The sequence below is a fragment of the Homo sapiens genome, chromosome 7 (genome assembly GCF_000001405.40).
Source record: "Homo sapiens chromosome 7, GRCh38.p14 Primary Assembly".
Lineage (NCBI taxonomy): Eukaryota > Metazoa > Chordata > Mammalia > Primates > Hominidae > Homo > Homo sapiens.
Window position 1 is genome coordinate 26,201,343 of NC_000007.14, and position 22,816 is coordinate 26,224,158.

General features: G+C 42.1%; 1 protein-coding gene across 4 annotated transcripts, besides 2 other annotated features; it reads left to right on the forward strand.

Annotated features, from left to right (window-relative positions):
* Positions 101-12,265, forward strand: CBX3 (chromobox 3). 4 transcript variants are annotated; one of them, NM_007276.5, is made up of 6 exons: positions 101-219; positions 1,629-1,680; positions 5,026-5,168; positions 7,051-7,213; positions 10,320-10,414; positions 10,740-12,265. In NM_007276.5, exons 2-6 carry the CDS (start codon positions 1,657-1,659, stop codon positions 10,864-10,866), a joined length of 552 nt encoding a protein of 183 aa, NP_009207.2. In that variant the 5' UTR covers positions 101-219; positions 1,629-1,656; the 3' UTR covers positions 10,867-12,265. The 4 variants fall into 4 exon arrangements, with proteins under 4 accessions (NP_009207.2, XP_005249668.1, NP_057671.2 ...); XM_005249611.5 differs by lacking the exon at positions 101-219 and adding an exon at positions 403-1,267; NM_016587.4 differs by lacking the exon at positions 101-219 and adding an exon at positions 403-484.
* Positions 288-1,107: a silencer, noted in NCBI's record as "silent region_18035". NCBI's record gives its function as "represses an Ori minimal core promoter by ATAC-STARR-seq in GM12878 lymphoblastoid cells {active_cell/tissue: GM12878}" and the evidence as "EXISTENCE:reporter gene assay evidence [ECO:0000049][PMID:35858748]".
* Positions 21,829-21,931: a silencer, noted in NCBI's record as "fragment chr7:26262791-26262893 (GRCh37/hg19 assembly coordinates)". NCBI's record gives its function as "represses an EF-1alpha promoter that drives an FKBP-Casp9 reporter gene in an ReSE screen in phorbol 12-myristate 13-acetate-treated (for megakaryocytic differentiation) K562 erythroleukemia cells {active_cell/tissue: K562(+PMA)}" and the evidence as "EXISTENCE:reporter gene assay evidence [ECO:0000049][PMID:32094911]".

Below are 22,816 nucleotides of genomic sequence, written 5' to 3' on the forward strand. Positions count from 1 at the left end.
GGTACTAGTTTTTAAGCTCCCAACTCCCCCTCCCCCAGCGTCTGGAGGATTCCACACCCTCGCACCGCAGGGGCGAGGAAGTGGGCGGAGTCCGGTTTTGGCGCCAGCCGCTGAGGCTGCCAAGCAGAAAAGCCACCGCTGAGGAGACTCCGGTCACTGTCCTCGCCCCGCCTCCCCCTTCCCTCCCCTTGGGGACCACCGGGCGCCACGCCGCGAACGGTAAGTGCCGCGGTCGTCGGCGCCTCCGCCCTCCCCCTAGGGCCCCAATTCCCAGCGGGCGCGGCGCGCGGCCCCTCCCCCCGCCGGGCGCGCGCCCGCTGCCCCGCCCTTCGTGGCCGCCCGGCGTGGGCGGTGCCACCCCTCCCCCCGGCGGCCCCGCGCGCAGCTCCCGGCTCCCTCCCCCTTCGGATGTGGCTTGAGCTGTAGGCGCGGAGGGCCGGAGACGCTGCAGACCCGCGACCCGGAGCAGCTCGGAGGCGGTGAAGTCGGTGGCTTTCCTTCTCTCTAGCTCTCGCTCGCTGGTGGTGCTTCAGATGCCACACGCGTCCCGGGGGCCCGGTTCTCCGCTCCCCTCCCCTCCCCTTCTCGCCGGACCCCGCGCCGGGAGCTGCGGGAAGGAGTGGAGGGTCGGGCGGTGGCCTCGCGGCTGGCCTGGCGCGCGGCCAGCGCCGGTAGTTAGTGGGGGGACTGCTCTGCCCTCGAGGGGGTAGGGAGCTGTGGCGACGGTTGCCCCATTTCGAGACAAAGCGCATTTCCCCCTCCCCTCCCCCACCCGCGTTCCGGCGGAGGCGCCCCCTCCCCCAGCCGCCACGCGGGGCTGGGTCGAGACTTGGGCCTCCCGGAGGGCGGCGCGTGGTCCCGCGTCCGCGAGGCCTGGCGGCGCGCGGCCGGCTGTCCCGAGGCTGCGGCGACCGCCCAGTTAACGTGGCCGCCGCGGGGGTAGGCGCGTGCGGTGTGGCGCAGTGCCCTTGAGCCCCCGTGCCGCGGCCTTTGTTTCTCCCCGCGGATGCGCTGACCACGAGGCCCGCGCTCCCGGGTGGGGGCGGGCACCCGCGCTTAGGCCTCTGGACGCCGGGCTTCAGCGGCGGGGGTCGGGAGCGGGTGTTTGCAAGAGGTGATTCTTTTTTCAAAGTGTCACGAAACGGGGTTGAAGCATCTTAAGTTTTTTCCTTTTGTTATTTAATTACCGATTGGAAAGAGGGAGGGTTTCTGAGCAGAAACCAAGTTGGGATTGCAGAACAGAGAAGATTCACAGTGCTTTACCGTTGTGAGTTGTTTGGGTAATCGTGCCTGGTTTTAAACCGAAAGGATTGTCCTTTAAAAATGGAACATGGACTTTATTATAAATGGGACTTAGATTGGAAAAGACATTGGTCCCCTATTTTAAGCCATGTGAAGCTGTTTTAGGTACCAGGATCCCCAGTAAAGTCTTTCTAGACTCACATGGTTAGGACACGTACTTAAGTACATCATAAGCAATGTAGGTAGGAGCGCAGATCTACTCTGGATTTGTATTCACGTTTGAAATGTGCGCTCTCTACTTGGGGGTTGGAATCCAAACAGAATTTGTATTTAGTTACCTTTTTTGTGTCATGCAAACTTACCTTAACTGTCATGCATTTTTCTAGTAATAGCTCTTCAAGTCTGCAATAAAAAATGGCCTCCAACAAAACTACATTGGTAAGTTAATGAAAACCTAAAATATGTAAGGATTTAACTCAAGTTTTTTTTCCCCACAGTATAACTTTGCATCTCTGTGGCTGAGAAATTTACATCCACATATTTCCCAGCTCTCCCAGTGTAAATTACAGGGGAAAATTAAGAGAAAAACGAATTCATTACAGGGAGATACTGGCTTGGCTTAATAGTGTCTTAACTAGTTCAAAGAAGGCTAATCTTTGAAGGACAGTGCAATGTGGATTTTGCTGAGGATTTTTATCTTCAAATAGAAATACACACATTTTTGCAGCGTTGAAAAATGTTACATAAAATGGTAAAGCCCTTGTTGGTTGGCATAATTTTTCTTAAATCCCCAGAATTCTGGAGAAGTATTTTCATTAAAGCCCAATTTAAAGAACAAGGTACCTTGTGCACCTAGGTTGGAGCAAAAGTCATTGAATCTTTCAAATTACTTTGGTCACTTTATCTTGTTTTAACTTACTCTAAAACATAGAAGAATATTAAGTTTAATTCATTGCAGTGTTTTGTTTTTTAAACAAAATGATCGAAATCGCAAATATGAGCCAGAAGGGAGAAAAGGCTAGATTTTTTTTTTATCTTATTCAGCCATGTCATGTTACAAGTTTTTTTAAACCCTGGAATATTCACATAAAAATCATGAAATTCAAAGTTACAGTTTTCACAATATTTAACATTGCATTAATCTTAAACACGTAAAGGTGAATGTTAATGTCTCCTAGGTAAAATAAAGCATTTGTTTTTGGCTTGTATGTGCTCTCTCTGGGTTTCACACTAAAAAGGGCACGTTAGTGATTTTTAATTTGTGCCATCATTAGATTCTGCATTAAGTCTGTTTACCCTGCATTAGATTCTGCATTAGATTCTGTTTACCCTGGAAAACAGAAGTTGTTTTTGCACGCAATTGATAGCCTTTGGGGTCTGTTATTGTATTTAGTTTATTTTGTGAAGGATCACAGGTTGGCCACTTTAAAAGTTCTTAACTTTCCATTTTAAAAATTCATTAGTGTTGTGAGATATGTGTGCTGTTAATTTCACTTAAATAATGGGAAATTTATTTTGACTCATCCACTTTTGGAAAAAAGTGCTGGGTTAAGGCAAATATATACTATAAAAGAAAATAGTGAGCATTTGAAACTAGCTTATGAATGCCATAGTAGTGAATGAATACTGTATGGCATTTTGTCTGCCTTTTTTTTTTTGTAAACCTTAGTGTGTATCCTTTTCATTTTCTGTATTTATTGTTGACTTTATTTTGTTAGCCTTCTCCCTTTGTGGCAGTAGCTGTTTTGTTTTTCATGTAGTATAGGTATCTGATACACTTCTGTCTATTACAGTTTGTCTTTGCTCCTCCCACCATTATTCCTACCTTCTTGTACTGTACAGTGGCAGAAAGCTGTTTGGGCCCAGTACTCAAGTATCTTGACTAATGAGAATCATAACACCTGACTTAGAAATGGTATCCAAAAACGTCAGGTGTTTGCTGCATGTTTTTGTATTTCAGGGGATTTTTATTTTGTGTGTGTGTATGTGTTACCTATATGCTTGCATAGCTTGAAATGCCCTTTTGCAGTCTTGAGGCCTTTCTTACATATCTGTCTGCACACTTCATATGCCTGCATAGCTTGAAATGTCCTTCTGTAGCCTTGAGGTGTTCTTAACTTTTTTCTGCTTGCTGCTTTACTTGTGGGATGGCTTTAATGATTGAGCAATTAAGGTTTATCTTTTTTAAATAGTATTTGGGTTTTTTGTTTTTGTGTTTTTTTGAGACAGAGTTTTTCTCTTGTTGTCCAGGCTAGAGTGCAATGGCGTGATCTTGGCTCACCGCAACTTAAGCCTCCTGGGTTCAAGCAGTTCTCCTGCCTCAGCCTCCCAAGTAGCTGGGATTACAGGCATGCACCACTATGCCTGGCTAATTTTGTATTTTTAGTAGAAACGGGGTTTCTCCATGTTGGTCAGGCTGGTCTCAAACTCCTGACCTCAGATGATCTGCCCACCTCGGCCTCCCAAAGTGCTGGGATTACAGGCATGAGCCACTGCCCCCGGCAATAGCATTTGCTTTAAGATGAAATGTTAAGATGGATTCCTTCTCAGCCCATAGGATCTTCTGATTAACCATTTCAGGGTTTTTTTTCCCCCATTTTTAATCCTCTCATAAAAATTTTCCCCATTTTTAGTCCTCTCATAGGAAATCTTGAGCCATTGGAAAGAGCTGGTTCACGTTGGTTTCCTGCTTCTCTTAAATAGTGTCATACCAAAGAAAATGCCTGTTTAAAGTGAATTTGGTTACCAGTATAGACTTTCTCTTGAGAAACCAGGAAGGAAGGATTTTTTTCACCTTAGGGAATTAAAATAAATTTGTAATGTTGGTCTCTTGAAGTGATAGCTTTATAGTTTTGTTCTAAGTGGTAGGAAATATTATCTACAGAGATTATGGAAAAATAATCTTGTCCTTTAATTGAACCTCCTAGTGGTCTCTATAGTTGACCCTGCAGTTGGTATCAGGATTTTGAACCATGTTTTCATTCTGCATTTATCTTTTCTCTGTATCATTGATGCTTTTGACATTAATATTTGAATTGAGAAGGGGGCTGGGGCTTTTACCATCTGGGGGTGGATACAAGGTCTGTCATAGGTTCACCTAAGACCTGTCACTACTACTTGCTTCTCTGTATCACCCTTTAGGTACTTCCTGCATAGTTGTTTGTTGCAGTGTTGTTAAAATGAGTGAAAATTAGTAAACTTGGTCTTTTAAGACTACAGGGCCGGGCGCAGTGGCTCACGCCTGTAATGCCAGCACTTTGGGAGGCCCAGGCTGGTGAATCACTTCAGGTCAGGAGTTTGAGACCAGCCTGGTCAACATGGTGAAACCCTGTTTCTAATAAAAACACAAAAAAAATTAGCCCGGCATGGTGGCATCCGCCTATAATCCCAGCTACTCTGGAGGCTGAGGCATGAGAACTGCTTGAACCTGGGGAGGCGGAGGTTGCAGTGAGCTGAGATCACGCCACTGCACTCCAGCCTGGGCGACAAGAGTGTGAGACCCTGTCTCAAAAAAAAAGACTGGAAAAAAATAACTGTTTCCAGATAGTGTTTTTTTATTGTATTATTTTGGTGGTGGGTTGTAAGTTTGAACTAAATGAACAAGATAAAGCATTCTTTTATTTTATTGTCTGTTGACTTTTAATCTTTCCAGAAGGTGTCTGCCCTGGGATATAGAAGTAAAAATTTATGTCGAATGTGATAATAATATAAGCAATTGAGCCTTGAAAATGTGCTCAAAATTCAAGAGGAATATTTCTTAATTTCTCTTTTGTTTTATTTTAGCAAAAAATGGGAAAAAAACAGAATGGAAAGAGTAAAAAAGTTGAAGAGGCAGAGCCTGAAGAATTTGTCGTGGAAAAAGTACTAGATCGACGTGTAGTGAATGGGAAAGTGGAATATTTCCTGAAGTGGAAGGGATTTACAGAGTAAGAAACTTTAGTGCATCTTTACTATATGTTTAACTGCAGCTAAGTGGTTTTAGAATTTGTTTTTAACCTGGCTCTTTTACCTGCTTTCCTGTAGGTGTCTTTAAATGTAAAGACACTTTGAATTTTAGGTGTCTCATTTGAGGTCTATTTCAAAAGAACCAAGACTTTATTGTACAGTTGAAGGTGAGCAGACTAGAGACTAGTTTATTACCCTGGGGAGTCAAATTTATAAAATTATGGAGTGTAGTTTACTATGTAATATATTTTAATGTGGTTAGATATTACACTAATTAGAATAATCTGCATTATTTTCCTCCACACAGAGGGTGCTAAAAACATTGAAGCTTTACAATATAGACTAGTGGGTCTCATACAGGATTACATATAATCTAGGCTTTATACTAGGTTTATTATATCCTTATACCTAAGAAGTAGAACCTGGGCATGTTTTAAGCTCTCTGGTTCCTTGTGTTCTTTGATATGGATTGCTCTCATTATTCTTGATAATGTTATTCACAAAATGTGAATAACTTGAACATGCAACAATTACATACTTTAACGCTTGGGGTTTGTTGTGCTTATCTGCTTTGATTCTTCCCCCTTACACCACAAAGCTCCATAGGCAGTGACAATTAAAAATGGATAGGTGGAGATCAATTTCCTGAGCACGCTGGAGATGGAGCATATGATAGTCGAATGATTGGGCTTCACCTATCTGTTATCTCCTACTTCCCCTGCTCTTCACATTTAATTCATAGCAGTTTGGGAATTATGAATTGAATGGGAGATTTACGTTTGCCTGTTTTATCCTTCAGTATTCTTAGTTTAAATTAAGTATGTGTCGTAAGTCCCTTCTTTATTAAGCCCATGAAACATGAAAAATTATTTTTACCCATCAAAACATTAGGAAATGAATGGGCTCCTCCCTCTTCTCCCAAAACTTAAGGCCACTAGCATGATTATAGCGTACTTCCCATGTGCAGTGTAACAGGTAATGTAAAAGACTTTTTTTTGTTTTGTTTTGAGATGGAGTCTCACCCTGTTGCCCAGGCTGGAGTGCAGTGGCGTGATCTCAGCTCACTGCAACCTCTGCCTTCCGAGTTGAGGCGATTTTCCTGCCTCAGCCTCCTGAGTAGCTGGGACTACAGGCGCCTGCCACTATGCCCGGCTAATTTTTGTATTTTAGCAGAGACCGGGTTTCACCATGTTGGTCAGGCTGATCCCAAACTCCTGACCTCAAGTGATCCACCTGCCTTGGCCTCCCAAAGTGCTGGGATTACAGGTGTGAGCCACCGTGCCAGGCCAAAGAAGACTTTAATGAAAATAATACTACAGAGCAGAGACTTTTATTGTCCTCTACCCAGTAATTTGGGTTTACTAATTTGGAGTCTCAGGGTAGCAAATTAGAATATAGGGCCTGGGTGCAGTGGCTCACACCTGTAATTCCAGCACTTTGGGGGTCCAAGGCTGGAGGATCACTTGACACCAGGAATTCAAGACCAGCCTGGCCAACAAAATGAGACCCCTTCTCTATTAAAAAAAAAAAAAAAGTGTGTGTTTTAAGTTAGCTGGGCATGGTGGTGCATGCCTGTAGTCCCAGCTACTTGGGCTGAGGTGGAGGATCGCTTGAGTCGGGAGTTGGAATCTTCAGTGAGCTATGATTCCACTACTGCACTCTCGTCTGGGCAACAAAGCAAGACCCTGTCTCTGGCGGAGGCAGGCTGGGGGGTGGGGTAATGTAGGGAAGGAGGAAATGATTAGTATCTGCAGTACAGAGGACTTTTTATTCCCCCGGGTGTCTATTAAAATAGATCTGGATAATGGTGATGAATCATATTTAATTCAATCACCTTTTTTTTTTTTAATAAACTAAACACAGTGCTGACAATACTTGGGAACCTGAAGAAAATTTAGATTGTCCAGAATTGATTGAAGCGTTTCTTAACTCTCAGAAAGCTGGCAAAGAAAAAGATGGTACAAAAAGAAAATCTTTATCTGACAGTGAATCTGATGACAGCAAATCAAAGAAGAAAAGAGATGCTGTAAGTATAAAATATTGCCCACCAGCTTGTCCTTTTGTAAAAGGTTGATGGCTTGATTTCTTTTTTGTTTGTTTGTTTTTTTGAGATGGAGTCTTGCTCTTGTCGCCCAGGCTGGAGTGCAATGGCATGATCTTGGTCACTGCAACTGCCGCCTCCTGGGTTCAAGCGATTCTCCTGCCTGAGCCTCCCAAGTAGCTGGGATTATAGGTGCCCACCACCACGCCCAGCTAATTTTGGTACTTTTAGTAGAGATGGGGTTTTGCCATGTTGGCCAGGCTGGTCTTGAACTCCTGACCTCATGATCCTCCCGCCTCGGCCTCCCAAAGTGTTGGGATTGTAGGCATGAGCCACCACGCCTGGCCTTTTTTTTTTTTTTTTTTTTTTTTTTTTTTTTTTCCTGGGAGACAGAGTCTCCCTCTGTCACCCAGGCTGGAGTGTAGTGGTGCAGTTTCGGCTCACTGCAACCTCCGCCTCCAGAGTAGCTGGGATTACAAGCGTGTACCACCACACCCAGCTGGTTTTTGTATATTTAGTAGAGACGGGGTTTCACCATGTTGGCCAGACTGATCTCAAACTCCTGACATCAGGTGATCCACCCGCCTCGGCCTCCCAGAGTGCTGGGATTACAGGCGTGAACCACCACACCAAGCCCACCTTTGACGACTTGCTTTTTTAAAATTCAGATACTTTTATAAAAGGCCTCTTAATCGTATTTTAAATATTTTAATACTTAGGACAATAAGGATGGGCGTGGTTTAGCCTACTTTGTGTAAATGTGCAGTAAGTGCTCATGCCACTTAGGTTGTGCTAGTGCAATTTTTCTTAGTTTCATGGATTTGATCCCTGATCAGACCAATTACCTGTGATCCAAGGCTAGCAATCTTAAATACAAACAATACTAAGATTGGATTATCGAAAGCCTTTGCACTACAGTAAGAACAACGCAAATAGAACTTTCTGATTATAGTCCATCAATGGCATTGACCACCGAAAAGTACTTGCATGTCATCTTTGTATTGCCAAACAATACCTTGATTTTGAAGTCTGTAATCTTTGATAATAGTTAAACACTTTTCTTGGCATGAATTGAGACATTCAGTTCATTCACTATACATGTGTTTTGGTCCAGTCTTTGCTTTACTTATGTCTCTGTGGCGTCAGGCAAATCAGGTAACTTCTTACTTACACCCTTGATTGTAAAACAGATTATACTTGTCTTGCCTACTGACCTAGTGTGGCAATTTGGGGAAACATCTTGGTGCTGAATTAGGTTCTAGGCTCAGGCACTAAACATGATTTAAAACTTGATCATTTGAACTAGAAGCCAAGTACAACCTTCAAGACAACTCTGTATAAGGTCATAGGTATAATCACTATTTTACAGATGAGGAAACGAGATTGACTACAAATTTGGTTTTGAAAATAAATCACATGCTCAACAGAAGCAGTTTTGGCCAGGCACGGTGGCTCGCACCTATAATCCCAGCACCTTGGGAAACCAAAGCAGGAACATCGCTTGAGCCCAGGAGTTGGAGGCCAGTTTGGGCAACATAGTGAGACCCCATCTCTACAAAGAAAAAAAAAAGAATCAGCAAGACGTGGTGGACACCTCCTGTAGTCTCAGCTACTTGGGAGGCTGAGGCAGAAGGATTGCTTGAGCCTGGGAGTTCAAGGTGCAGTGAGCTGTGATCATGCCAGTGCACTTTGGCCTAGGCAACGGAGCAAGACCTTGTCTCAAAAAATTATTAAATAATAAATCAGGCACAACTTTAACAACACTTATTGAGTCCTTAGCATGTGCTATACTGTGTGCCAAATTATTTGCTTTTAATGTGCTGTGAAATATCTGTGCAGTAGATACTAAAATTCTGTTTTATTAACCTAAACCACAAAGAGGTTAATTAACTTGCCCAAAGCCACACAGCTCGTAAGTGGGGTAGGTCCATCATTCTCACCCAGGCAGTGTGACTCCAGAGCTTGTGACATTGATGTAAAACTCTGACAGGAATAAAGGATTTATTGATATCATTGGTTCTCAAACTTTTTTTGGTCTCAGGGCCTCTTTATACTCTAAAAAAATTATTGAGGATCCCCAGAGAGCTTTTGTTTATATGGGTTATAATTATCAATACTAACAGTAGAAATTAAAACAAATTTCTAAAATGACTTTTCTAAAAAAGCTGAGAAGAGTAGCATTTTACATTTTTACAGATATTCAACATGTGTCTTAAGGCAATTTTACTTAAACACATTTGATTGCTGTGGCGGATCATTTTGGTGGAGGTATATGAAGACAATCCAAAGTCACAAATAGATGAAAAAAGGGGGCCTTACACAACCCCCTCCCAAAAAGGACTCTGGAATCCCCAGTGAATCCGTAGACCACATTTTGAGAGCCACTGGTTTATATTAAGTACTTTCTAGCGCAGGGGGTCCAATCTTTTGGCAGCCCTGGGCCACATTAGGAGAATTGTCGAGGGCTACACATAAAATAGACTTAATACCAACCATAGCTGATGAGCTAAAAAAAAAAAAAAAAAAAATCGCAAGAAAGTTTCAATGTTTTAAGAAAGTTTACAAATTTGTGTTGGGCCTCCAAAGCCATCCTGGGCCACAGGTTACACAAGTTTGTTCTAACATTTACTATCATTTAGAATGATTACAGATAGTTGGTATGAGTTTTAACATTTTTAATATTTCTTACCGTTTGTGTTTTGTTTATGCTTTTAAAATGTGTCAGTAATTCAGACTAATTCCTGGAAGTCATTTGAAATATATTAACTTTCAAGACTTTATTATTACCAGAAATAAAGAGGTTAGTTTTTCTGTATGCCCACACAACTCTGACTTTGGTGTCATTGAACGCAGTAATTTTCTTGACTTTTTATTCTGAATGTTTTCAGAAATTTTAAGTATTCTACGTTGAGTATCAAACTCAGGTTTTTCTGCTTGTAAAGTTAATGGAAATCAGATGTTTTTAATTACCAAATATGGGTTCTTGCTCTAGTCATTTCCATCTCACTATTGGAATGTTTTTATTTAAAATACGCCATGAAAACAATTTAATACTCTGAGTTTGCTGTATGAAAAAATGTCTTCTAAACAGGCTGACAAACCAAGAGGATTTGCCAGAGGTCTTGATCCTGAAAGAATAATTGGTGCCACAGACAGCAGTGGAGAATTGATGTTTCTCATGAAATGGTGAGTATGCAGAGATTGTTACATTTGAAAGTAAGAGTAGCTTTTTTTTTTTAATTTGTGAAATGGTTTTTCATCATTAGGTAGGGAAAAACTATCTGCTGAGAGGATGATTCTGGTTACTTTTACTAGTAGTGTTTTAAAGCAAGGGTCAGCAAACTGTGGCCTGTTTTGAAAATGAAGTTTATTAGAACATAGCAACAAGTAACATAACTCTCCTGGAGCACTTCAATACCTTTTGTTTGGACTATTATTTCTTAAATGAATGGCTGTCGGTTGACATGAACAACTTCGACTTGTAACTGAATTTTTCTTTTTCTTAAAACAGGAAAGATTCAGATGAGGCAGACTTGGTGCTGGCGAAAGAGGCAAATATGAAGTGTCCTCAAATTGTAATTGCTTTTTATGAAGAGAGACTAACTTGGCATTCTTGTCCAGAAGATGAAGCTCAATAATTGTTCACATTGTTCTTTTATATATATTTATATATATATATAAAAATTGGGTCTTAGATTTTGATTTACTAGTGTGACAAAATAACTACATCCTAATGAAAATCAAGTTTGATATGTTTGTTTTGAAAGTAGCGTTGGAAGAGTTGTTGGGGGTTTTTTGCATCCATAGCACTGGTTACTTTGAACAAATAAATAAAAGCTTTCTGTAGTTGCTTCCTTTATCAGAAAAGAACATTTGATACCATGGTATATCATTTCCTCTTCATTAAAGAACAGCTTTTCTAAATGTTGGGGGAAATGTCCATAGTCATTACTCAGTCAAAACTTGTGTTCTCATGAGCCTAAGGACCATTCTAGATTTATTACGTGTTTTTTGTGTGTGTGTGTGTGTGTGTGTGTGTGTGTATCCATAAAATGCATATGTAAATTTTTTTTTGTTTTTAAGCATTCACCCAAACAAAAAAATCACAGGTAAACCCATGTTTCTGAGATGCCATTATTCCAAGCAAAATAAGAGATAATCCCTTCAAGTTAAATTGAAAATTTTCCTGAAACCATACATTTCAAGTGAAATAAGTAATTCTAGATAGGACAATTTAAATTGGATAATTTTAAAGTGTCTATAATTGCAGTGGTTTATTTGCAAAATTCCTAAAAGGAAAAATTTTATCACTGCCATCACAGCAGGTTTCCTCATCCAGATGAGGAAACTAGACAAATGCTAGTGTGTTTTAACTAGCTAAACAAAACTAAGTTAAATGAACATTTAAAAGTTTCCCTAGCGGGCCATTCCTTAGCAAAATGTTGGAATCCCTGTTGCTACATTGACTAAAAGGTCATGATGAATGGAATATGTAAGACTTGGCTCATAGAAACCTAATCAGATGGTTAGAGGTGTTGGCAGTTTAGGACCTGCTGTCATAAATGTGTGAACAACCTTTTGTAACCTAACCTATTGACCTGCATGTTTTTTCTTTACCCCAATTCATTACATGGAGGCTCAATCTTGAGTTTGCTTTACTGGTTCAGCAAAAGCCAGGAAGAACAACTTTGTAGTAATCAAAATGTTATCCAACTGTATATTGTTTACTTTATTGTAAATACTGGTGAACAGTGGTTAATAAATAGTTTTATATTCCTTTATGCAATTATTAGACTTTTTTCTTTATTTGATATGCCTTTACAGTAGAAATAGAAATGCCCACACTCATTGGATTATCTTTGTTTATAAGTTAGATGATACCAGTAAGGCATTACAGTACATATCCTAGATCTTTTGAGCTTACGAGTTTTAAACTTGAATATGTATTTCCACAGGAATGTTTCCACAGTTGGGAAATAAAAGTTTCATGTGATGCCTAGGGTCAATTGTCTCATTAAAATGAGGTTTTAAATTCTGGTTTGTTGTAACTGTCTTCTAAAGAATGTAAAGTATTCTGATAGGGCTCAGTGTGATGATAGACACATTTTAATTGATTTCCAAAATCCATACAGAAAAAGGTAAATAACTGATGTTTATTAAGTACCTCCTTATATATATATATATATACCCACCACTGCTCTCAGCGGTGGGTTCACAGATGATAGAGAACCTTCTATTCATATTAGTAGTTGGTGGCCCTACATTCAATTTTACTAAGGGCATTTCTGAAAACAATATATTGTCCTTTGGCCATGCATGGTGGCACACACCTGTAATCCCAAAATTTGGGGAGGCCAACGCAGGAAGATTACTTGAATCCCAGAAGTTTGAGATCAGCCCGGGCAACAGTGAGACCCCCACCTCTACAAGAAATTTTAAAATTAGCTGGGTGTGGTGGCTTGCACCTGTAGTCCTTGCTACTTGGGAAGGTCCCTTAAGCCTAGGAGTTTAAGGTTACAGTGAGCTCTATGTCAATACCACTGTGCTCCAGCCTGGATGACAGACTGTTTCTCAAAAAATTTGAAAAATATTGTTTTTTTATATTCTCTAGTGTTTGTATTAGTTTCTTATTGGTGCTTTAACAAATTACCACAAATTTAACCCATTTATGGCTGAAAATAGTTCTGTAGGTCAGAAGTCCAAAATTAAGCAAGCTGAAGTCAGGTTATCAGGGGAATTCCTTCTGGAGGCTTTGATGGCAGAATCTTTCCTTCTCTCTTCCATTTCAAAAGGCCACGTATATTCTTTGGTTCCTGGCCCTTTCCATCTTCAGAATCAGCAAGCAGTGGAGCATCTTGCATCATCTTTCTCGCCCTTCCTCTCTTCCTCTTTCCATCTCTCCTGTCTACCACGGTGTATTATGGAAGGATTGAGCCAAACCATTCATTCAAATTCTTGAATTCCTGGAGCTTAGATCTTTAGCTGAAGAGAAAACCCTTTTTCTATCATTTCTACCCTCTGATGTTTATGTAATAGGCTTCTTGTAACAACTCAGATGCTACAGAAGTAAGGCCACCTCATCAATTTCCTTGCTTCAAACCCGAAGTTCAATTGATACCCATATCTCTGGATTTCAAGACCAGCCTGGCCAACATAACAAAACCCCCTCTCTACTAAAAATACAAAAATTAGCCAGGCATGGGGGTGTGTTCCTGTAATCTCAGCTGCTGTGGAGGCTGAGGCAGGAGAATTGCTTGAACCCAGGGAGCGGGGGTTGCAGTGAGACAAGATTGCACCATTGCACTCCATCCTGGGCGACGAGTGAAACTCAAAAAAAATAGTTTTTAACAAAAAATATATTTGCAATTTATATTTCACCCAGTTGTTATCTTGGGTCATCTTACTTAATAAATACACTAAAATATACTCTATTCTAGCATAGCTGCTAGCCACTCCAGAGAGGTTACCTGGGTTGGAATCTGCTATTTGATTCTGAACAAATTAATGTACTTCACCTCTCTGTGTCTGAGTTTCCTCATCTGTTATTCATGGGCTCCTATAAGGGTGAAATGTATGCATGTGAGACAGAACAGTGTCTTGTGTTTGTTTAGTAATCAAGATATTTTATATCTTTTTAAATAGGGACATAGTAGGGTATCATATGGCAGCTCCCCAACTTAACCAATTGCTGGGTATGAGTACTCAGGTGGTTGGTAGTTTCCTACTATTAGACTAATGTAGTGAGGCCGGGCGAGGTGTCTCACGCCTGTAATCCCAGCTCTTTGGAAGGCCAAGGCGGGCAGATCAGGAGGTTAGGAGTTGGAGACCAGCCTGGCCAACATGGAGAAACCGTGTCTCTACTAAAAATACAAAAATGAGCAGGGCATGGTGGCGTGCACCTGTAGTCCCAGCTACTCAGGAGGCTGAGGCAAGAGAATCACTTTGGAACACTGGAGGCAGAGGTTGCAGTGAGCTGAGATCATGTCACTGCACTCCAGCCTGGTGACAGAGTGACAGAGCGAGACTCTGTCTCGAAAAAAGGATTAATGTAGTGCACATTCTTACATATAGTGACACTTAGCAGATAGATGGATTCTCAGAAGTCATCAGAGAAGTCAAGATTGCAGTGATTTCTATCAATAACCATTACCCCATTTCCTCACTAGGACTACAAATTAACAACATTGATCTTACTAATTTTTAATCTTTTTTAGGGATGGGGCCTCACTATGTTGCCCAGGCCAGTTTCAAACTCCGGGGCTCAAGTGATCCTTCCACCTCAGCCACCCAAAGTGCTGGGATTACAGGCATGATCCACTTGCCAGGCCGATTTTACTAATTTTTAGTCAATCTGATGGCATCTTGGTTTAATTTTGCATGTTTGATTTTGTTGAGCATTCTTTTCATATTTAACTTTGCATTTCCTCATATGTAGATTAGTCATGTTCTGCATAACAAGGCTTTGATCAATGATGGACAGCATATACGATAGTGGATCCCATAAGATTATAATATCAGTATTTTTACACTACCTTTTTTATGTTTAGATCCATGAATGCTTACTGTTGTGTTACAGTTGCCTACAGTGTTCAATATAGTAACATGCTGTATGGGTTTGTAGCCTAGGAGCAATATCTGGCCTAGGTGTGGAGTAGGCTGTACCATCTAGATTTGCCTAAGTACATTGTGTGATGTTCACACAGTAATGAAATTGCCTAATGATGCATTTCTCAGAACATCCCTGTCATTAAGCAATGCATGACAGGAAATCATGCATTTGAGTTTGATTATTACTAGATCTTCCTTTTCTATTTCTGTCACACAAAAAACAGCCCAGTTTATTTTGTCTTAACCACACGACCCTCAGGCTCCTAGCTGGACTCATATGTATGGCTCTATTCCCCCAGAAGACTAATGAAGACAAATGTGTTTTAATGGGAAAAACTCATAGGCTGTCTTACATTTGATCCTTACAGTAGGCTTTTTTCTCCCCTCCAGAGATGGGGGTCCTCGTCTGTCATCTGCACTGGAGAGCGGTGGGACAATCAACTCACTGCAGCCTCAAACTCCTGAGGGCAAGTGATCCTCCCACCTCAGCCTCCTGAGTAGCTGGGACTACAGGCACATGCCACCATGCCTGGCTACTTTTTAGAGCCAGGTCTTACTATGTTGCCTACGCTGATCTCAAACTCCTGATCTCAAGTGATCCTTCTGTCTCAGATTACAGGTGTGAACCACCATACCTGGCCCTTTTCGTTTTATTAAGCCAATATGGACATTGAATATCAAGAAAAAAAGAGACCGGGTGCGGTGGCTCATAGCTGTAATCCCAGCACTTTGGGAGGCTAAGGTGGGAGGATCCGTTGAGCCCAGAAGTTTGATGCTGCAGTGAGCTATGATTGTGCCACTGTACTCCAGCCTGGGCAACAGAGCGAGGCCTCATCTCAAAACAACAACAATAAAACAATCTCTAATATGAAGTGAAATGTGAATATTTTGTGTCTGTATTTGTATGTTACCTATACAATAGAGACCCTTTTATCCTTTGTTGAATCAAGTGAATTTATGCCTTGAATATTCACTGAATAAGAGGAGCAATTTTAACAACTTAAGAACTCCAATAGTCGATCTGCCTGTAATCCCAGCTACTTGGGAGGCTGAGGCAGGAGATTGCTGGAACCCGGGAGGCAGAGTTTGCTAAGATTGCGCTACTGCACTCCAGCCTGAGCTACAGAGTGAGACTCTTTCTCAAAAAAAAAAAAAAAAAAAAAAAAAAAAAAAAAAAAAAGATAAAGGAAATTCCTGGCCTAGAGACAATAACAAAGTAGTTCAGAGCACTGGCTCTGGAGCTTGACCTCTTCAGTTTAAATCCGAACTTGCTGTTCGGATTTATTGTATATTTAGGCAAGTTACTTAACTTTCCTATGCCTCAATATTTTCATCCGTAAAACAGGCAGGATAATGATGGTACTTATCTCGTGAGGTTTTCAGGATTAAATGTGAAATGTGAAAAACACCTAGAGCTGAATATCTGGTATATAATAAGAAGAACCAGATCAGTGTTATTGCCAGCCTCCACTGTGTGCCTCAGATGTCTGGAACCTTGACCCAGCACAACCCCAAGACTCGCCATCCCTGGTGTCTGCTGCTTTCCTTACGTTAGCTCTCTTCTTTGGGACTGATTTCCACAAACCGAAAACAGAGCTGCTAGCAACTCCCATATCCCCAGGTTTGTTCTAAGGAGACTGAGACTCACTCTAGTGTCCAGTTTAAAAATCTTCTGGCCGGGCACGGTGGCTCACGCCTGTAATCCCAATACTTTGGGAGGCCGAGGCGGGTGGATCACGAGGTCAGGAGATCGAGACCATCCTGGCTAACACGGTGAAACCCCGTCTCTACTAAAAATACAAAAACTTAGCCGGGCGGTGGTGATGGTGCCTGTAGTCCCAGCTGCTCGGGAGGCTGAGGCAGGAGAATGGCATGAACCTGAGAGGCGGAGCTTGAAGTGAGCAGAGATCGCACCACTGCACTCCAGCCTGGGCAACAGAGTGAAACTCTGTCTAAAAATAAATAAATAAATAAAATCTTCTAGATGGATGCCTTGGCTCACGCCTGTAATCCCAGCACTTTGGGAGGCCCAGGCGGGTGGATCACCTGAGGTCAGGAGTTCGAGTCCAGCCTGGCCAACACGATGAAACCCTGTCTCTACTAAAAATACAAAAAATTAACTGGGTGTGGTGGCGGGTGCCTTCAATCCCAGCTACTCCAGAGGCTGAGGCAGGAGAATTGCCTGAACCTGGGAGGCAGAGGTTGCAGTGAGCCGAGATCAGGCCACTGTACTCTAGCCTGGGCAATGAGAGCGAAACTCGGTCTCAAAAAAAAAAAAAGTCCTCTAAGGCCGGGCATGGTGGCTTACACCTGTAATCCCAGCACTTTGGGAGGCCGAGGCAGGCAGATCATGAGGTCAGGAGTTCGAGAACAGCCTGGCCAATAGGGTGAAACCCCATCTCTACTAAAAATATAAAAATTAGCCGGGCGTGGTGGCGTGTGCCTGTAATGCCAGCTACTCGGGAGGCTGAGGCAGGAGAATCACTTGAACCCCGAAGGCAGAGGCTGCAGTGAGCCAAGATTGCACCACTGCACTCTAGCCTGGGCAATAGGGCGAGACTCCATCTCAAAAAAAAAAAAAAATTCCTCTAAAAGATCTCTGTTTGTCCTGGCTTGCATCAGATGTCCTCCCTGGAACTATCAAGCATAAGGAGATGTGTGGAGTACTATGATTACATCAATCAGCAGAAGAGTGCTTTCCAGGAAAAGGTGGATATTTGCCCTATATAAACAAAATGTATAACTAACGTATGGAATTTCAGCCAATTTGCAAATGCCTTCTTATTTATCTATTTATTTATTTTTTGAGATGGAGTCTCGCTCTGTCACCCAGGCTGGAGTGCAGTGGCGTGATCTCGGCTCACTGCAACCTCCACCTCCCGGGTTCAAGCAATTCTCCTGCCTCAGCCTCCCATGTAGCTGGGACTACAGGCGCCTGCCACCACGCCCGGCTAATTTTTTGTATTTTTAGTAGAGACAGGGTTTCACCATGTTAGCCGGGATGGTCTCGATCTCTTGACCTTGGGTGTTCCACCTGAGTGCTGGGATTATAGGCGTTAGCCACTACGCCTGGCTGAAAATGCCTTCTTAAAATACCTTTTGTTCTTGCTTTTTAGATTTTTTTTTTTTTTTTAATTTTGAGATGGTCTTGCTCTGTCACCAGAGTGGAGTGCAGTGGCATGATCACAGCTCACTGCAGCCTCAACTTCCCAGGCTCAAGCAATCCTCCCATCTCAGCCTCCCAAGTAGCTGGGACTACAGGCACGCACCACCACATTTGGCTAATTTTGTTTATTTTGTAGAACGAGGTCTCACTATGTTGCCTAGCCTAGTCTCAAACTCCTGGGCTTAAGCAATCCTCCCGCCTTGGCACTCCCAGAGTAGAGTGCTGGGATTATAGGGGTGAGCCACTGCACCCGGCCACTTTTTAGAAAACTTAAGACCATAGACTCCCTTTTTTTATTATTATTTTATTTTTTATGTTTTTGAGACAGAGTCTCGCTCTGTCGCCCAGGCTGGAGTGCAGCGGTGCGATCTCTGCTCACTGCAAGCTCCGCCTCCTGAGTTCACGCCATTCTCCTGCCTCAGCCTTGCGAGTAGCTGGGACTACAGGCGCCTGCCACCACGCCCGGCTAATTTTTTGTATTTTTAGTAGAAAAGGGGTTTCACCGTGTTAGCCAGGATGGACTTGATCTCCTGACCTCGTGATCCGCCTGCCTCCCAAAGTGCTGGGATTACAGGCGTGAACCACCGCGCCCTGCCCATAGACTCCCTTTTATCCTTATTCTAGAAGTTTTGCATTTTAGCTCCTTAAAGGAGAAAATAATATGACACTAAAACTAATATTAAATAATCTTTCATGCCAACCTTTTTCCTTATATGTCAATTTCTTTTTTTTTTTTTTTCTTTTTTTGAGACGGAGTTTCACTCTTGTCGCCCAGGCTGGAGTGCAGTGGCGCGATCCCGGCTCACTGCAACCTCCACCTCCCGGGTTCAAATGATTCTCCTGTCTCAGCCTCCCAGGTAGCTGGGATTACAGGCATGTGCCACTATGCCCCAGCTAATTTTTGTATTTTTAGTAGAGACAGGGTTTTCATCATGTTGGCCCAGGCTGGTCTCAAACTTCTGACCTTGTGACCTGCCTGCCTCAGCCTCCCGAAGTGCTGGGATTACAGGCATGAGCCACCGCACCTGGCCATATTTCAACTTCTACTATAAGGATCAGTCAAGCTCAATGGTATCCAACAATTACCTATTTCCCTGATGCATTTTATTAGACACTAACAACACCCTAATTTAATATCCTGAATTGGTCATTCTTATATATTAAGCTAATATTTTTAGTGCTCTAAAGTCACTTTTAGTGTCTGTATGTTCTTATTCATTTTGATGAAAGTAGGAGAGAATCGAGTGAAATGAATCAAGAAAAATGAGGGGCAGACATCAAGGTGAAAAGTGTAGGTGAGAATGGGCATTGGGAAGTTTAAGAATGAAATTAAGAAACCAAAGAAGATATATATTCAATATCCATGCCATCACTTAACAAGGCCTTTTTGGTATTTCAGTAACTGAACACTTTTGGATAGACCCCAAGATGGACACATTTTAAAGGGAAATTAAAACAGTGTTGCAGTGGGTTTCCTTCCTCTTAATTCTCTAGTCTCTTTGTTTAGCTTTCATGAATATCTGATTTCTTTGCCCCAAGAAAACTTTCTAAGTAATATTATAGAAAGCTATCTCTGACCTGATGAAAACGATAAAAATTGGGACATTTTGCAGAGAGAATGCTGTAGCTTTCTTGCAGTTTGTTACATAGAGTGGCAATACAATGAAAAACTCAGATTTACTCTGAAATCCCAGTTGTTCACCACAGAAAGCCATAGTCAACCATTTTCTAGCACCAAAACATGACATCTAGTAGGACAGAATTCTTAAAGCAAATTATACTGCTCCTTTGTAGTATCATGAAGAAATAAGATACTGATCTTTCCACAGGTGGTTGTTAGGCAAACCAGGGCAGAGGAGGACTGAATCTTTTGCTTTCCCCTCTTCTAGAACATGGGAACAAGTACTTGTCTTTTTCACTGCTGTATGCCTAGCACCTGGAAGAGAGGACCTAGCATCTATTTGGGGAAAGGAGTGTTGGAGGAAGGGCCCGAGATTTAAATTTGGGCTTGAAGTATAGTGGTTCTACCTTTTTTTTTTTTTGAGACGGAGTCTTGCTCTATTACCCACGTTGGAGTGCAGTGGCATAATCTCGGCTCACTGCAACCCTCCACCTCCCAGGTTCAAGCAATTCTCCTGCCTCAGCCTCCTGAGTAGCTGGGATTACAGGTGCCTGCCACCGTGCCTGGCTAATTTTTGTATTTTTAGCAGAGATGGGGTTTCACCATGTTGGCCAGGCTGGTCTCAAACTCCTGACCTCAAGTGATCCTCCCGCCTCAGCCTCCCAAAGTGCTGGGATTACAGGCGTGAGCCACTGCACTCGGCCAGTTCTACCATTTAAAAATGCAATACAGCAAGCTCGACATATGGATTACATATTAAGGCTAGACAGCACAAAAAATTATATATATATATATATATATATATATATATATATATATATATTTTTTTTTTTTTTTTTTTTTAACTTAAAAGTGCTGCCGGGTGCCATGGCTCATGCCTGTAATCCCAGAAGTTTGGGAGGCCGAGGCGGGCGGATCACGAGGCCAGGAGTTCGAGACCATCCTGGCCAACATGGTGAAACCTCGTCTCTACCAAAATACAAAAATCAGCTGGGCATGATGGCGGGTGCCTGTAATCCCAGCTACTTGGGAGGCCGAGGCGGGAGAATCGCTTGAACGTGGGAGGCAGAGGTTACAGTGAGCTGAGATTGCACCATTGCACTTTAGCCTGAGTGATAGAGCGAGACTCCGTCTCAAAAAAGAAAAAGTGCTATAGTTTGGGTGAGTCAAGTGCCTGAATGCCTGAATTAATAAGATAGTCCTAGGAATGAACACTATTTTTTTTTCCCTCTCTAAATCACGAAGCCTGCTTTAATTGACCCCACATAATCTACAATGGCCTTCCTTGTGTTTATCATTGTCTTTTTTTTTTTTTTTTGAGACAGAGTCTTGTTCTGTCACCCAGGCTGGAGTGCAGTGGCGCGATGTTGGCTCACTGCAACCTCTGCCTCTCGGGTTCCAGCGATTCTCCCACCTCAGTCTCCCGAGTAGCTGGGATTACAGGCGCAAGCCACCACACCCTGCTAATTTTTGTATTTTTAGTAGAGATGGGGTTTCACCTTTTTGGCCATGCTGGATCATTGTCTTCTATACTGTTAATAATTTATCCTTCTATTCTCATTTATCTAACTAAAAGCATAAGTATTTTTCTTCGGTAGCAGAACAGTGGACTAATATGGTCCCATACCCTATCATTTTGCTATGAGAAAAGAGGGAAGAACAAGGGGAAGTGAGAAGAGTTCAGGGATTTTGAGTACATGGTCATTTTCAAGGATGAATTAAATCCATGATGAAAATTACTATTCTTCAAACAAGCAGCTTAAATTTAAAATGGTACTATTATTATAAAACAAGTTTTAACCATTCGCTCTATACTGAGCTGGTACTGTACTTGGTTTGGACCCAGGTCTATTCTACACAGCCATATTTCTTTTCCTGGTGGCATTTACATTTTAACATGGATGCTGGTGAGAACACTCAATCAAACTGGATTGAAATACAGGAGTGAGTAAAGCAGACATATGCAATTGGGACACCTTGTTCAGCCAGCCAAAAGAAAGAACATGCCACATATGAATCATGCCTCTGGTTGAACAAGCTTTATACTAAGATATTTAATTGTACATTATAAATGTGTAAATAGTATGTTATGTGAATTATATTTCAATAATTCAATGCTTAAAGAAAAAGCTGGCTGGGCATGGTGGCTCACGCCTATAATCCCAGCACTTTGGGAGACCGAGGCGGGTGGAACACCTAAGGTCAGAAGTTCGAGACCAGCCTGGCCAACATGGCGAAACCCCATCTCTATTAAAAATACAAAAAAATTAGCCTGGCATAGTGGTCTGTGCCTGTAATCCCAGCTACTCGGGAGGCTGAGGCAAGAGAATCGCTTGAACCTGGGAGGCGGAGGTTGCAGTGAGCCGAGATCGCACCACTGTACTCCAGCCTGGGCGACAGAGCAAGGCTCCATCTCAAAAACAAAAAAAAAAGAAAAAGCTGCAGTATGAGAAAGCAGTTAGCTGAAAAAATACTTTTAAAAATCATTTTTTAGGCCAGGTGCGGTGGCTCACGCCTGTAATCCTAGCACTTTGGGAGGCTGAGGCAGGTGGATAACTAGGTCAGGAGATCGAGACCATCCTGGCTAACACCATGAAACCCCGTCTCTACTAAAAATACAAAAAATTAGCCGGGCATGGTGGCAGACGCCTGTAGTCCCAGCCACTCGGGAGGCTGAGGCAGGAGAATGGTGTGAACCCGGAAGGCGGAGCTTGCAGTGAGCCAAGATCGTGCCACTGCACTCCAGCCTGGATAATAGAGCGAGACTCCGTCTTAAAAAAAAAAAAAAAATCATTTTTTAATCTGGTTATTATTTTTCTTGCTATTGAGTTGTTTTGAGTTTCTTCGGTATTTTGGATATTAACCCCTTATCAGATGTATGGTTTGCAAATATTTTCTCCCATATCAAAGAGACAAGAGTTATATAATAAAATGCTTAACATAATTAATCATCAGGGAAATGCAAATTAAAGCCACAATCAGCTATCACTGCATACTTGTTAACAATGGCTATTAGCACAAAAACAAAAGATACTAGTGTTGGCAAGGATGTGGAGAAAAAGAAAGCCTTGCACACTGTTAGCGGGAATGTAAATTAGTACAGCTATTATGGAAAACAGAATGGTGGTTCCTCAGAAAACTAAAAATAAAATCACCATATGATCCAGCAATCCTATTTCTGGATATATATATA